Source organism: Homo sapiens, chromosome 3, assembly GCF_000001405.40.
Source record: "Homo sapiens chromosome 3, GRCh38.p14 Primary Assembly".
NCBI classification, from domain to species: domain Eukaryota; kingdom Metazoa; phylum Chordata; class Mammalia; order Primates; family Hominidae; genus Homo; species Homo sapiens.
In genome coordinates, this window is record NC_000003.12 from 15,169,116 (window position 1) to 15,186,337 (window position 17,222).

The following is a 17,222-nucleotide window of genomic DNA, read 5'->3' on the forward strand; positions in this document are numbered from 1 at the left end:
CATGAAATCCAATCAGCAGGGCTCATACTCAAAGAAGCCTTGGCCCTATACCAAAAGATTGGCAAATTAACATTCATTTATATGTATTAAGTTAATTTTTTAAATTTCATGTGAGAAACAATAGTTTCTGAGAAGAAAATAAATAAATAAGAAAATAACATTTTAAAAATTCAAGTATGTTTGTATCCTTTTTAAAGTAGTTGCCTGCTTCAGTGACTTAAGATTTGATCAGTCCACACTCGGTTCCTTAGGGCTTCTACTGTAAATATACACAACTCTTCATCAAACTGTTAAAACAGAAGGGGGCCAGACATGGTGGCTCACACCTGTAATCCCAGAGCTTTGGGAGGCCAAGTATCAAGGATCACTTCAGGCCAGAAATTCGAGACCTGCCTGGGCAACATAATGAGACCCTGTCTCTGCAAAAAAGATTATAAAATTAGCTGGGCATGGGAGTGCATGCCTGTAGTCTCAGCTACTTAGGACGGTGAGGCTGGAGGATCACTTAACCCCAGAAGTTCAAGGTTACAGTGAGCTATGATTGTGCCACTGCACTCCAGTCTGAGTGACAGTGCAAGATCAAAATTTACATAATTTTTAAAAGGGATGAAGGATAAGATGGGAGGTGCTAGAAATGTTGCCTTTTTACTTCATATTCTCCTGCATTGTTTGGCATCAAGATAAACAAAGTTTCAGTTTCTGGTTTTTTAATGAATTGACTTCAAAATCTTTTCTTTGTTGGAGGATAGACGAGATGGGTACATGGAGCAATTAAAAAAACTAAGAAAAGTTTTTTGTTTAAAAACATCAAATTTGGAAAAGACCCTCCTACCTTCTTGTAGGGGATAGCTCGTCCCACTAATGGAAACTTTACTGTCCACCATCTCAGAGCAGAGCTGGTGTGTAAGCTTGCTTCCTACTATGGAGAGCTGCAAAAAGGATTCCAGGGGGACTGAATTCTTCCAAGGAGGATATGATGCTATCTTCTCCAGGTCCTTACTCTCTGAGACATTGTGGGTGCCCACTGCATAGATGGTGACGCCTGCCCTTCGGAGGTGGGAAGCGGGTCTAGATACTCTGTCTTGGGAGAAGCCTTCCGTGATGACTACAGCTATCTGCTGCACACCGTGGTTGGACCGGCTACCCTTCTCCTGAATGAAAACCTCGTTCCTCAGGAAATCTAATGCAGCACCAGTCTTCGTCCTTCCTTTTCTTTCCCGGTAGGTTAATTTGTCCAAATGCTCCAAGATTTTGGCTGGATTCTGAAATGCATCCAGTGAAAATTCAAGTCGTGGTTCCTCACTGTAGAAGACCAAGCCAAGTCTCACAGTATCAGGACGAATGTTTAGAGAACTGACAATGGTCTTTAGGAAATTGACAACTTGTTGGAAATTGGGTTGCCTAACCCTGCTAAATTCCTCAATGAGGAATATTAAGTCAGCCGGGACAGCAGTTGCGCACGCTGCAAACAGACAAAATCAGGAAGAACGGCTTTAGCATAACAGCATTAATATAACATAAAGACAACATTAATATATAAAAGCTGTACTATGATGTATTTTATATGTTACATAATATATTTATTATTACAATTATAATAATATATATCATATGAACTTATATTTCTACATTTTATAATTTAAAAGAAGCCTTTATTTGGCATGATCGTCAAAGAACATCACAGGGTTCATACCTATTTCAGAAATTCTCATGTGGAAGAGTATTCACATCACTTGCAAAATATTTAAATATATGAATATTGACAGTAAAGTGCTTCAAGATTGCTTTTCAATTTATCTAAGTCCATCAGAAGAATCTGAGTCTTGACTAATTTTTCTTCATTCTTCTAGTTTCAAGAGACTCTAGGTCAAATTCTCATTTATAGGCCTGAAACCTCCCAAAAGATGAAAATTAACTGTGGCTGTTAATTTCTAAACCCTTCTCTGATGAATATCATGTCATTTTAACAGAGGCAGCCTGAAATGTTGCATGTTTCTATGAAAAATCTTTATCCAAATATTAGGCCAGCTGGCTGTTTCATTTTGCTACAGAAGAACTTTCCCTTCGACTTACCTCAGAAGGAATAAAACATAAACTCGCTGCCAAGAAGAATGCAAACACCACTCTCTCTATTTGAGACAGTGCCTATTGCAGGGAAACCCACTGTGTCCACATAGTTTCAAGGTCCGTATCTGCTTTGATCTGTGAAAAAGGAAATCTCCCTAGCAGAGAGCCAAAACCATACATGCAGAAGCTTGAAACCACTGTGCAAACAACTGAATATTGTGAAACAAGGTTTAGGGGCAATAGAATAACCTTTTAACTTTCTCTTTTGTCTCCTGGTGTCCTGAAATTTCCCCTGTGGTCCTTTTTCATAAAGAATCAAAATTCAATCCTAGATTTTAAAAAAGGGTGTTGTCCACAATTTTAGCAAATCTAAAACACCAACGCTAGAAACTCCAGACATCTTTGACAGCTCCCTTCCTTCACCTTCTTGTACCAAATGCTGTTATTCTCCTTTCAAATTGTCTTCAGGATTCCTTCCCTTTCCTCATTATCAAAGCCACCCTTGGGCTGGGCCCAGACATCCTCTCCATGTGGCCAGATGACAGCTCAGCCTTAAAGTCTTTCTGAGTCTGAGGTGCCATTTGGAACCCCACCTGCCCTCTGAAGGTTTCCTGAAAGACTGCTTTGGTCATGTCATACTTCTTGCTTAAAAGCTGCCCACCAATTACTTCTAGTGTCTTTGGGATCCTGTAGTCAGGGTCTATCATACCTAATCCAATCTCATCTCTCACTACTTCTATACTCTTCCACTGATCCAAATTGGCTCCATTTTTAAACTTTCTTCCACATTCATCCAGACCATTCCCATTTCCATACCCTTACCAGGAGTGTAGACCCCTTATATGGTTCTTCCCCTTGCCCAGAGTACCCTCCTCCTTTCTCCTATATATTAAAATAATACCTGTTATAGAGGGACCAGCACAATTCCTTCCAGCCCACATCCTCTAGTATGTCCTCCTTTTGTACTATCTATCTCTGCTTAATATAGTATCTCCATAAGGTGCTTCTTAGTTCCTTATTACCTCTGTTTGGATTTTCCTCTTCTTGTCACATATGTGTTTGTCTTTTTTCTGCCCATAAATTTCCAAGGACCCCAAGCTCTAATTGTTGATAGGTCTGGGCAGAGGTGTGACAATTCTGAGAAAGGAAAAATTGGCCACTTCTAGTTGTGGGGCTCAAAGGATGCTTCATCAAGAGGGTAACTTAAGAACTGAAGGGTAAATTTTGACTGTGGGCATCACAAGCTGATATTATAGTGTATTCAAGAGCAGAGACAGAGGTTGGAAAGGATGATATACATACAGCAAATTATGAGTAGTTCAGCTTGGTCGGTGAATAGAATGTGTACAAAGACTTAGCAGGAGATAAGGCTCAGTGGTTCTCAGCCAAGAGTGGTACCTATCTACAAAGGACATTTTGGAAATGTATGGGGATGTTTTGGATTACCATAATGATTCAGGGATGATACTGGCAGAAACTAGGGATATTAAACCTCTGACAATGCACAGGACAATTCTACACTATGAATTGTCCTAACCAAAATGCCATTAGTAACTCCCTTGAGTGTCTTGGATGCCAACATAAGGAAGTACTTTATCTAATCTATGGGGAGAAGCCTGAGTGCTCCTTCTCCTGGAAAAGGTATATGGTAATTTAGATTCTTACTCAGAAATATTATCTCCTTACTCCTTATTTCCATGGGAAGATATACTTTTCTACTCTACTGATCTCAGCATAGCCATATGACTGGCTTGAGCCAATGAAATGTTAGCAGGTGATGCAGCAGAGGTTTGAGAAATGCTTATGCAATTGGTTTTCTCTCTGGTACCTCTGCAATTACCAGGAGAAGAATATGCCCAGACTAGCCTGATGATCCCAGGAATAAGAAGAGAGATATGTGGAGCAGAGCCAAACCTAGATCAACCAACACCCAGACAAATCCCAAATCTGTGAAGAGGCCCAGACAATATCAGCAAAGCTGTTTGTTTGGGCCCAGCCAAGATCAGCTGTTCCTCAACCGATCTGTGAGAATAAGTGATTCTTTTCAGCCACTGACTTTTCACCCAGTTTGTTATGCAGCATCATTGTGACCATAGTTAACTAAAACAAGGTTGTGCCTGAGGCATCTCATGCTTCCTACTCTTCCCTGTCTGCTAGTGCTAGTGCCCCAGTACTGAGGAATCCAGAATACCCACCTTCTCTGCTCTTTCCCCAGACCTTCCTCTTACACTGAGATCTCCCAGTGGCTCACATATTCTAGGACCAAACTTTACCTCCTACAGCCTCCTCGTTGGCTGTAATCCTGTGTTCCTGCTGTCTAGTCCCTTGGATCACCACATTCATATCTTCTACTATGTGTCTGACTTCATCTTCTCTCTGCACATCATAGACAAGGTCTGGGGATCCCGTCCCTTCCAGTTCTCTCCTGTCAAAGTCCTGCACACCCACAGACATAACTTTCACACCTTTCTCTCTTAGTCTCTGTGCAGCATCCTGGACTTCATCCTCTGATTTGCCTGAATTAATGACCACTGCATACTGGGGAATGCCCTGGAGAAACCTGCTTCCTGCTTCCTCCTGGAAGAATGTCTGAAGAAGGTATCACAGTGCCTTGCCTGTCCTCCTGGAGCAACCCAGGGGCACAAAATGCTCATGAATGTGAGCTATCATCTCATTCTGGGTCTTGTAGGTATTGAGCAAAAACTCAGTGTGACCTTGGTCACCATACTGAGCCAGCCCAATTTGGTACTTGTCCCTGCCAACCTCCAGCATGCCAACCACTCTGGAGAGGAAATTCTGCATCCTCTGGAAACTGGCCCGTGATGTGTCTTGTGATGTGTCAGCAAGAAAGACCATGTCTGCATAGGCTTTGATGAATTCTGGAAGTAAAGGGAAAGGGAGACCAGGGGGCCAGAAAAAGACAAAAGGAGAAAGTAAATCAAATCAAACTCTCATGAAAATTGAATATAAGGATCGTTTTGTGTGCCCAATGTGAGAGGTAGAAGTCCTATCTTTATACAACTCTCTGTATATTGTACTTCCCTTCCTCTATGTGGGACTCTATCACAAGGCTTTTCCTCTCTTATAGCCTGCTGCCTTGTTGTCTGTTTTATTATACTAACCTACCTTTCAATTACTCTTGTTCAAACAATAGAGGAGGCAAGGGAAGTTAACTGAGGATACATTTTATGCTAGAGCTTTTTATACATTTTATCTGATTTAATCCTCATAAGCCTTTCTTCTAGACAAGTATTATTTTCTTTGTGAAGATGAGAAAATTGAAGTGAAAAAGTGAAGCCACTTGTCCTTGCTGACACAACTAGAAAGTGGCAAAGACAGGATTAAAAAACAGGTCTTCTGGCTTTCAAAACCCATGCTGTTTCCTTTGAACAACATGGCAAGATGTTCCTTTCTACCCACAAGAACTCCATCCGGCCTTCAATCCTTTCCCCTAGGAAGCCTCCCCAGGTTCTCCAGTGATGCTGGGCACTCCTTTCCCTCCCATACACCCAGCATATTCTGGGTTATATTTTAGTAAGCTGGCATGGTTGGAATCTTGGGTTCTAACACAGCTTCTTACCTTTTATCTTACCCTCCACTGCTGAGCACAGAGTCTGAAGAATACTTCCTGAAAAATCCTGCAGGATATTGAAGTTTTCAGTGTTGAAGAGAAACTTCTCAAATGGCTCACTGGTTATTTTTTGCAACTCTTGGACATCCTGGACATTGACCCCTACCACATAACACAACAACTCCATCTTCTTTCAACCGGTCAGCCACCTCCTGGACCTCATCATTTGACTCCCCGTCAGTCACCAGGATAACTATCTGAGGAACTCTGTCCTTGGCCCGACTGCCAGACTCCTCAGTCAAATAGTTGGTCCTGATAAACTCCAGGGCGCTCCCTGTGTTTGTGCCTCCTGTGCGGTATGGCAGATTCTGGATCTGCTCCAAGATCATGCTCTTCAGAGGGTGCTGGTTCAGCTGGAAGGCTGGGTAGATGTTGTCATTATACTGGGCAAGTCCCACTCGGACACGGTCACTGCTGATGTCAAGCCCCAAGATGACGGAGTAAAGGAAGTTCTTGACTTTCTGGAAGTTTTGGGGTCCGATGCTAGTTGAACTGTCTACTAGAAACACAATGTCTGCCAGGGCTGCTTCTCTGCAAGCTATAAGAGAGACGGCAAAAGGGATTGGATTACTGGATCTTCACTCAAAATGCTTTGAACCATTGAACAAATGGTTCAAGCTGCTTGGAACCAACGCAGAAAAGAAGAATAATGGCAGGCAGCCTATACTTAGTGGTCCTCAGACGCTACCCTCACCCCAAATGACAATGTGCTCAGAGCAATAACATTAACATCCCCCTGTACCTTTCCTTCTCTCTGCTCCATCACCTTCTGAGATTTCAGACCTGCTCTACCGATACTTCCAACCTTGAAATCCACTTAGATAATCCCTTAAATTTTATTAAGAAGAAAAGCACTCTGTAAATTAAGCAACATGCTGAGAAAGGGAATGTATTCTTTCCAGTCAGAAAAAGCCATCAGCCTCCTATCTTTTGACAAAGAAACCTCATATCTAGGAGTGTGCTGGCACCAGCTGGTCAGAAAGCTGGAATATATCCCATGTTCCTTGACACATCTTATTGCAGCTCTATCATTTAATAGCTCTGTGACCTATTTAACACTCACTTCTTTGAGATTTAATTTTCCTCTCTGCAGCACTGAAATCTTTACACCAACCCTCATACTCTCCCAAGGTTGTTTTGAGGATAAAATAAGATAATCTACTGCAGCAGACAATGTCATGTTCTGCTCAGTCCTTTTGGATTTCTTTTTTACCATTCTATGCACTGCTCTTTGGAAAACTACCCTCCAGCTAGTAAAGCTACTTTTCTCACAATATTTAAAAGCCCAGATCCTTGCTTGACCCAGATTCAGGGTCAAGACAACTTTGAGGCATAATGTACACCAAACTCCCCTGCAGGATCAGGCTAAAATCCCTTACAGAATTTTTGCCTGAAATCACACCCTTCCTTACTTTTCTCTACTTCTCTGTCCTGAATACCCCACATCCTTACTGACCATTGCCCCGGGAGCTCTTCCTTAGCAAATCATGTGTATCCAAATTCTTGTTTCAGGCCCTGCTCCCCAGGAATACAACCTAACAGCCCTGCTCTAGTGGAATGGCTCTGCTCTAAAAGATCTGGGATCAAGTCCCTAGTTCTGCAATCCACTTGTGGTAACTTTGGCTTCAGTTTTCTTATCTGAAAAATGCAAACAATAATACTAATTACCCTACGTATCTAACAAAGTTGAGATGATCAGTCAGATGAGCAATATAAATAAGTTTTGAAAACTATACAACGCCAGGCAAATAGTAGCTATTATTACTATGAATATAAAATTTCTTTGTAAACCTTGAAGTGCTGTACAAAAGGAAGATATATAATATTTATTTGCCCATACAAATGCAATACTACCACCACACACCTGCTGCATCAATGGGTCAAAAGTTTTAGCACTTCTTCCAATTAAAATACCCTATACAGAAATACCAAAATAATGAATAAATCATGAAGAGTCTGTCCTTTTGTGGGTTTTGATGGAGCCCACAAGCATTCTTCTCTTTCTCTACTCAAAGTTGTATGCTTTATTATGGAGGTTAGTAATTAATTTATAAAGAATTTTCACCATTTTATGCCCTATCACCAATAGAAGCACAAAGTTGATGACAGGCATATCATCATCACAGGTTATGACAAGTAATAACAGGTAATGTTTATGAGTACCTCTGGTTGGCCAGGTATAGTGCCAAGCACTTTACTTGCACAATTTTGTTTAATGTTTTTAACAACTCTCTGAGGCAGGTACTATCATCCTAGGAAGAAAATTTAGATTCAGAGAGGTAAAGTAACTTGTCTAAGATTACCCTTTCTCTACTTTGTAAGATTTGAACACAGATCTTTATTTTCCCTAAATTAATAATCTATAATCTTAACCAGTATATTAAACCAACAGGCTTGCAGTTAAATTAGCAAACATCCTAGGGGAACTACTGCCCCTCTCCCTTCCCATCCTTCATCCAGGCAACATGGGTAAGTTAACCTAGGAATAATAATGTCATTCTAGAAACAAATAAATCTTCATTCAAAAATGGACTTATACTATATCGTATATAGAACCAGCATAAGGCCCACAGGATTTATAAAAAGAGCTGATGAGGCTTTGGTCAGTGATTGAAGAGGAGCATAGGGTTGGCTTCATGAAATTTTAATTTTAAAATTAAAACATGCACACATATGAAAAATAAGAAGGATGGGCAGAGGGATGAATAAGAGACCAAGCTTTGAGTTTCATGACTTCCAGATCAGAAATTAAGAATAAAAAGCCTTTGTACCTGGAGAGACGTGGTCAACATGTGGAGCTGCCTTTGCCAACGTATCACAGAGTTCCTGCCGCAGCTTCTGGGCGAGATTGCTCAGACCAGAGAAGTTAGGAACAAAGGAGGTAAAATTCTCCTGAGGACTACTGGCAATTTCCCTGAGCTCTGCCCAAACTGCATCTCTGACGCCAATAGCATAAAGCAGGATGCCTGCCTTCCTCAATGCCTTCGCAGGTCCATGGACATGGTCCTCAACTGGCCCACTGCTGATCACCACGGCGATCTGAGGTACCTCTTGGCTTGCCCGGCTCCCTGATGCTTCCTGGAAGTGGTGGTCTAGAATGAACTTCAGGGCCAGGCCCATCTTCTTGCCCCCAGGCTTAAATTGAAACTGCCGAATGTGTCTCAACACATCACCTTTGCGGTGGTAGGTGGAAAGCAAGAACTCTGAATGGGGCACATCGCTATACTTGGCCAGACCCACACGGATGGTCTCACTGCTGACGTTGAAGCTGTTTACCAGAATGTACAAGAAGTTCCGCACACTGCGTGCATGTTGGGGGTTGATGTTGGTGTCCACCAGAAACACAACATCTCCCAGAGAGGCTTCCCTGCAGACTAGGAAAGAGAGTCACTTTCAGATAAAACATAACAAATGACAGTTACTGGCTGGAATCCCATCTCTCCAGACTCAGAGCCTTTACTCCCCACAGATCTGCCTGCACAGCATGCAGCCTAGACACACCATCATCTTCCCTTGTATTCCCATGGCTACCATCTTCCCCTGCTCACCTACCACTCTCTGTTCCATTCTAATAGACATTTGGCCCTTCAGTTAGATCACCCACCCTGCTTTCCATTCATCCCTTGACCTAAATAAAAGAACCCAGTTTTCTACCAGTAGTGGATGCTGTTGGTACCCACCTAGATCGCCTTTACTGGTTGGCACACCTATCCCCCAGCTGCTTTAAGTACTACCTGTGACTTTCTCCAGAGTCCTAACCTTGGCTGAAGGGAGTGGCCTCAATTGGAGACGCCTGGGATGTTACACCACTACCACCACCCTGGGTGGCCAATGTCTAATCAACATGGAGATACAAATGCCTGGCCCACTTGCCTTCAGTGAAACAACCCTGCAGTGTTATTTAGACTCCATCACCACCTCTCATGACTCAGGCCAAGGCTTGACTTTACCTATTGTCTTCATCCCCTACTCTAACCCACTTCTGTTACTCCCTTACAGATTTTTTTCCTAAAGAGTACTTTCTCAAAATAATGCACTCAAATCCCTGTCCCAAACTCTGCTTCCAGGGAACCTGACCTAAGACATCAGCTTTCCAGCTTTGACTTCTGTACTCCCTGGCCACCACCAGCCCCTTTTAGTTTGATCGTTGGCATTCCTATACTTGTGGCTCACATTTGTCTTTTGGCTCCCTGAGCTCAAGCTGCACTATGCAGCTACTTCTCCCCAGCCCCAGCTACAAGCCTGGAAACCACCATCTCAACAGTGGCCAGGCCCATTGGTACCCCATCTGGGCCCATCCTGGCCTCCAGCATGGAAGACATCAGACACCAAGTGGCTGCAGGACTGGAGCAAATTTTGGTAAATTCTCATAGGATCATGTTCTTTTATCTTTGTTTGTAATGTAACATTCATGATTGTGCTTATTTAGTTAATGGCAATTTCCCCAACTAGACTGTGAGATCCATGAGAACAGATAACCATGTATTTTGTTTGTTTGTTCACCACATGAGCATCTAGCATAGAGCAGATACCCAAAAATATTGAGGAAGGAAAGAATAGAGGAAAAGAGAGAAAGGAAAGAGACAGCACTTATAAGGATGGAAATCTTGAACATTAATGAAAACAAATAATGGAATTAAAATTTTAGTGCTAGAAATAATTATATGAGACTGTAGCTGCTAGACATGTGGCAACTGAGCACGTGAAATGTAGCTAGTATAACAGAAACTGAACTTCATATTTTACTGAATTTTGATTTATTTTAATTCAGAGAGTCACATGCAGCTGGTGGCCCCTGTATTGGACAGTACAAGTATAAAATAAGGAGTCCAATTCAGCTATCTCAAAGAGAAGGAAAATAAGACCTGGAAAGGCAAAGTAACTCATGTAAATCCATTCAAAGAGCCAGAATTAGGACCCAGGTCTCCTGATATCTAGTCCATACCCTGAACTGCCATGAAGATTAAATTAGAAATCCATATTACAGAAAGGCAAAGACCAAGTGAGAGTCTAGACAGAGAGGGCTTGGGGAGGTTGGTATAATCCAGGGACACTTAATCCACTTGTCACTTCTGGAGTCCTGGGTCCCACCTCTCAGAAGTTTGCATAACATTGGTCATAAAGCCAAGTGGAATCTGATCATGGAAAAGGCAGACAATAAATGAACTTCAGGTCCTTTAAGCTTTATTTCCCTTCAACCCTCCAAAGTGCAGTCTTACTGGGAGAATTCAATGACTGTTCCAGGGATGGCTGACTGGCTTGTCGCCTTAACATCTCTTTCAGGGGTGATCAAATGCAAACCACGAAGTGTTTCCCTGATCTTTCAAATCAGAGGAAACCACACAGCTGTAGAATATTTTCAAGGCAAGTAAGTTTCAGTTCTATCATATGCAACTTGAGAGATGTATTACATTTTCGTAGACTGTCACTTTCTTAACCCCTCCACTAGTTCTTTGAATGTTTTAGAAGGTGTTTGAAACATGAAAAGACTGTCACAGCTTCTGTTCACAAGTGAAGGGAGTCAGAGCCAAAAGGAAAACTGAGAGAGCTTCATGGTTTTTTTTTCCCCCAACAAATAACAGCCTGTGTAATTATATTTGAATATTTAAACCTCAATATTGTCTCACTGGCACTTCAGGCTACTCAAATAATCTTCTTCTGATGAGACTTTCATCTTGGAAAGTCCCAACAATCTATTAAAATAACTGCAAAAAATTGCAGATGTGTCACTAGCACTCAGTGAAGCGATCCGTCTTGTGATGATAATTACTCCTCAGAACAGCTCTGCCGAAGAGAAAAGGCAGAATGCAGAACAGACTCCTGTTTACAAAAGCGTTTGAGAACCTAGTAATACATTTCAGAGTATGGAAGTTTTTAATATCTATTTTTTTGTCATTTGGGGTTAAGTACTGAAAAAACAAGTGCCCACCATTCACTATAAGCTTCCAGATTCTGACTAAATTCTCCTTCAATGAATCGATTGCCTCTTATTAATTCTGAAGCTTCTGTAATATTTCCTTTTAAGATGGTCACTACCACTAGATGGTTTTCAGCTTAAAGAAACCCAGGTATTACCAATCCTCTGTGACTTGAAGCCAAAACCAGCTTCAAGGAGGATGATCCCCCAAAATATCTTCCAAGTCTCCATTCTAGATGTGGACCTAGAGAAAAGAAGAAACCTTGTAATTAAAAAATGTGCCTTCATGCACTTAAAATGTGTCCAACACATTGACTATAAATTATGCCTCATGAAGTTGATTTTTTTAAAGCATAAGGATGTCTTTCCCCACATCAACATAGGCTTTATCAAAATAAAGAGGGAAATGTTCCCACATTGTTTCAATTGTGCAAGGAAAATGGTCTTGCTGATCCAACTCGGGAAGAATTTTGTAAACACCCAGAGTGTACACCTCAGACTTCACTATTTAAAGTTGTCCAGATGTGGCTATAAAAGGAGAAAGCATACAGGACATGGCATAGAACTTCCATTTCACACACTGCATTCATTTGGTGGGTCATAAACATTTCTGAATGATTTTGTTTGTATATTTATGCAAGAGTGGAATAACCTGATAAACAGTTGTGGTATGCTAAAATATTCAAGTATCTCAGGAGCACATCTGCCTGGTCAAATAAGCCTAGTCTGAAAATACCTCATACATTCTCAAAAAAAAAAAAAAGCAGAACATCAGACCTCCCTCCCCAAAGCTTAGATCCATTTCCAAAGGGGTCCATGGAAATTGTCTACTCTCAATTCCATTTCTATTTTTTTTACTCTAAGAAAGTCCATTTGTTTAAAAATAAGAACATAATAATCCCATTGAATGAGAGGTTCCAAGTGGAACAGGGAATACCTCATCTTTATATTCTTGGCCAGCCAATCTCACAGCTGCCTTCAGCAGAATGTATGTGGTTAAAAAGCAAGGACTCTTGGAGATAGACTGCCTGGGCTTGAGTCTTCGATCCACTATCTAATAGTGGATCTTAGGCAAATTGCTTCACTTTTCTCTGCCTTGGTTTCCCCATTTGTAAAATAGGGGCAATAATAGCACCTACCTTATAGTGTTATCAGGATTGAGTTCATTATTATAAAACACTTTACCCATTCCTGGCACACAGAAGGCACTCTTTAGGTGTTTGTTAAATAAAATAAACCTTCTTGGAGCCCCAATATGTAATTCAAAAGAATTCAAAAGAATTCTTCCATGTCTTTGCCATTGTGAATAGTTAAAGCACATTCTTAAACAAACCAAAGAGTTTAAGCAAGAATCTCTAGCATGTCTAAATCACTTCCTAGTCTTGGGTTCTTTAAATAGAATATTGTGTGGAAGTGATCATCACAACACCCAGGAATAGCAGACACCCAACAGCTGCGTTTCTCTTTCCAGAAAGTGTTAAGTGAAAACCACCCCCCACTCCCTAAAAACACATCTTGACTGTTCATGCTCAACTTACTCCTTAAGAGGGATTCAAAAATTTGAGATAACCATATTTATTTTATTTACTTTATTATTTACACCAACAGAAAATACTGGGAGAAGTCTTGACTTTAAAGGAAGCCCATAGGCCTTGATTCTGGTTTGAGCTTGGCTATTTGCTCTGCAGACTTGAGCAAGCTGTTTCAACTTTCAGGTTTTATGTGATGAGTCTAGAGGTCTTAGCTCTGATTTGAGACAACTACTGTATTGACCACTGTATTACAAACATGCCCTAGGGAATTGGTCCAGTGTTTTTCCAGGAAATAGATGTGCTATAATTAGATTTCTCTGTTCCTCAGTTTCTACATAACTTCCCACTAGTGCCTCCTCCCGGAGGTGTATAAGTAACTAAAGGAAAGGTACTTTAAGACTTTAGATATCCTATCCTTCAATAAACTTTTACCTAAGGGTAAAAAAAAAAATGCATGAATCTTAAAGAATAGATTGCCCTAGTGAATTAATAACTGTATGAGGGTAAAGAGCTTGAGAGTCTGAAGGTGTGAAAAATGATCCAAAATAAATTAATGGATCATCAACATGATCCTCATCATCATCATTGCAATAAAATATTACACTTCCAATTTTGAAACACTTGGGTTAATAAAGTTATTGGAAAAAACAAAACCTTTAAGTAAAGGTTTTACTGTATAAAACCTAAATATAGATATTATGTCTACATTTTCATTTTCCATTATGTCCCAATTATTACTATTCATGCGATTAGTCATAAAAAATGAGCATTTTTAGCTAATTGTAAATAAAGCACTAGAGCTGTTTATGAAACTCTAGTGGGAAAGTCAAAATGATAAACATTTATAAACGGTTGTAAACATTTTACAGCTGGGCAAGTCTGTGTTATATCAATGAAGAGTTAAGTATCTATGTATTAGAGATTTAATATCTACGTGATATGTACTATTTCATTAAGATGTTTATATCTTAAGCTGCTGAAGAGATTTTGCATCTGAACACATGGGACTCCTCATGGAGGCAAGAAATAAAGCCATTAAATGAAATGGAATTAGATAGGGATAGCATAGAATACTGATTCTTTCTGCAAATAACTTTAATAGTTTTGCAATAGAAAAGATTTCTCTCAAAAATATATTGCTCAAATAGTTAACCAACTAAAACCGTCTATTTTTTAGATTCATTTATTCAGTTTAAAAATTACTTTGCAACTACCATAGTAACAATTGACTCAGGAAGAATCATCAGAGATTGCTAAAACCACTGGGTAAAAGTTTGTTACACAACAGAATATGAATATATTTTCAAAGTATCTTCTGAAAAATTACTTAGAAATTACAAAGGGCAAAAAAGTACCATTACGATGGAGAAGCCTGATGGACATGACTTAACCAAGTGATCAATTACATCAATAATAACAGGATAAACCAACATCATCACCTCCTGATATTATGCATGAGAAAACTTAACATCACTTATATAGTATTTCTCCTTAAAATCCATGACCTAAATCTGATAACGAGAAAACAATCACATAAACCAAAACTTGAGGACAGTCTAAAAAATAACTGGCCTGTGCGTCTCAAAAATATTCATATCATGAAAGACAAAGCAAAGGAATTGATTCAGATTATAGGAGTCCAAAGAGACATAACATATAAAGGCAATTCATGATCCTGGTTTGGGGGGAAAAATGCTATAAAAGCCATTGAATGAGACAGTAGACAAAATGTTAATATGGACAGAATATTATATAATAATACTGTATCAAGGTCATGGTGAAACCCGGTTTCTACAAAAAAATACAAAAAATATTAGCTAGCCATGATGGTGCACGCCTGTAGTCCCAGCTACTCGGGAGGCTGAGGTGAGAGAATCGCTTGAGCCCAGGAGGTTGAGGCTGCAGTAATCGTGCCACTGCACTCCAGCCTGAGCAACAGAGTGAGACCCTGTCTCAAAAAAAGAAAATACGGTATCAATGTTAAATTTAATAACTTTGATTATTGTGTTGTAGTCATGTAAGAGAATGGCCTTCTTATTTAAAAATACACACTGATGCATTGTGGAGCAAAGGACCTTACTATCAGCAACTTACTCTCAAATGCTTGGCAAAATTATAATGATTCATAGAGAGAGGAATAAAGCATTGCAATACATTTGCAACTTTTTACTGAGTGTTTATTGTTTGCCAGACTAAACTTCAGGCCCTAGAAATAACAGACTAAAAGAAACCATTCTTTTTCTCAGAGAACTAGTGGAGAGAGAGATGGATAAATTGTAATATTGTGGGATAAGCAAAATAAAATAGAAAGCTATACAAAGTGCTGAGGAACACAGTGTGTGAGCACCTGTCTTCACCTGGGTGAAGAGTTTACAGAGCAGATGATTCCAGAGTGAAGACTTGAAGGATGAGTAGAAATTTGCAAGTGAGAATGTGAAGAAAGGGAGTTCCAGGAAGAAGAACAGCATGTACATGCAAGGACACTGGAGAGGTACTAGACACTCCAAACACAGCCTGCCCACAGATTCAGGAGCTCAGGTTTAGGAGTGCTGGGGATGTGGTTAGGCCTTCATTAGAGCTCATGCACCTGTGCTGTCCAAGCTCTTAAGGCTTGATAAGTCTCATAGAGATCTTTTCTGAAATGACTGAACTTAAAAGGTGGGATAGAAGAGGGGACCCGAGCAGAATTCCTCAGTCTTCAAAAACAAACCTCCTTAACTTCATTTAATTAAAGTAGCAATGCTTTATATACCAGTCTCCTTCAAGGTTTTTGTTCTTCCTCTGTGGAATGCTCAACTATAAAATACGAAGATTCCATCTCTAATGTCCTATGCCAGTGACTCTTAAACTTCAGCATTGCATCAGAGTTACCCAGAGGACCTGTTAAAGCCCAGTTTGTTGGCCCCTACCTCCAGAGTTTCTGATTTTGTAAGTGTAGTGTGAACCCTTAGAATCTGCCTGCTGAGCTGGTCCGAGGAACCATATTTCAAAAACCATTCTTTAGGCCGGGCATAGTGGCTCATGACTATAATCCTAGCACTTTGGGAGACCAAGGCAGGAGGAGTGCCTGAGCCCAGGAGCTGGAAACCAGCCTGGGAAAAATAAAGAGACCCTGTCTCTACAAAAATAAAAATAAAAATTAGCCTGGTGTGGTGGTGTGTGCCTGTTGTCCCAGCTTCTCAGGAGGCAAAGGTGGGAGAATTGACTGAGTCCAGAAGTCGAGGCTGCAACAAGCCATGATCATGCCACTGCACTCCAGCCTGGGTGACAGAGAGGGAAGGGAAGGGGAAGGGGAAGGGGAAGGGAGAAAGAGAGAAAGAGAGAGAGAAAGAAAGGAAAGGAAAAGAAAAGAAAAGAAAAGAAAAGAAAAGGAAAAGAAAAGAAACTAGTCTCCCATGCATTTAGCATGCAGTGGTTCCTGCTCAAGCGAGTGTCTGCCCCACTTGCTTTCAATAGCCTCTTTAATTCCCTATGGAGAAAATCAAGTGTCTATTTTCAAGTAAGTGAGAAAAGAGAAGAGATTATTGATTTTAAAATGTTTTTTAAATTACTGAGGTAAGCAGAAGCTTCAAAATATTTGGATGAAATACTCAATGCAAATATGCAAAATTAATTTAACACATTTTTTCCATTTTCTTTCTATTTATTCTCTGAAATCCAGAGCTGTGCTCTCTCTTTTCTTTCTGTTCACTTTAACAGGGTTATTACAATAACTGGATTTTTGGCTTTCTAATGAGATAGTCTTACAGTGTTCCACATCTGGGCAGGAAGCTCCAGAAGGCAAACAATTGAGAAACGTGAATAGATTCTTCTGTACACTTCACGTTAAACTCTACATAACATGTTTGACAGTAAAAAAAATAAAAATAAAAAACTAAAGTTTAGCCTTAATTTATTGCATAAACATTAACATTTGTTTTCTGTGCTCATTCACAAATCTTACAATGGCTCAGATAAATCTATAACTTTGTTGTAAAATATTTAAGGGAGGCTATGTCAAACATTTCAATGACAATTAATGTGTCAGTAGTCTCAGAAAAAAATAACAAGATGCAGAATCTTGGAGCTTTCCTCC

At 40.2% G+C, this 17,222-nt stretch overlaps 1 pseudogene across 1 annotated transcript in view; it reads right to left on the reverse strand.

The window, feature by feature from the left end:
• The window catches only part of COL6A4P1 (collagen type VI alpha 4 pseudogene 1), a 40,598-nt pseudogene that overhangs the window by 3,754 nt on the left and 19,622 nt on the right, over positions 1–17,222 (reverse strand). The window contains exons 2-4 of the transcript NR_027927.1: positions 8,470–9,072; positions 5,648–6,236; positions 833–1,462 (exon numbers count right to left, since the gene is read on the reverse strand). The product of NR_027927.1 is annotated as a collagen type VI alpha 4 pseudogene 1 (transcript). The remainder of the gene's footprint in view (positions 1–832; positions 1,463–5,647; positions 6,237–8,469; positions 9,073–17,222) is intronic.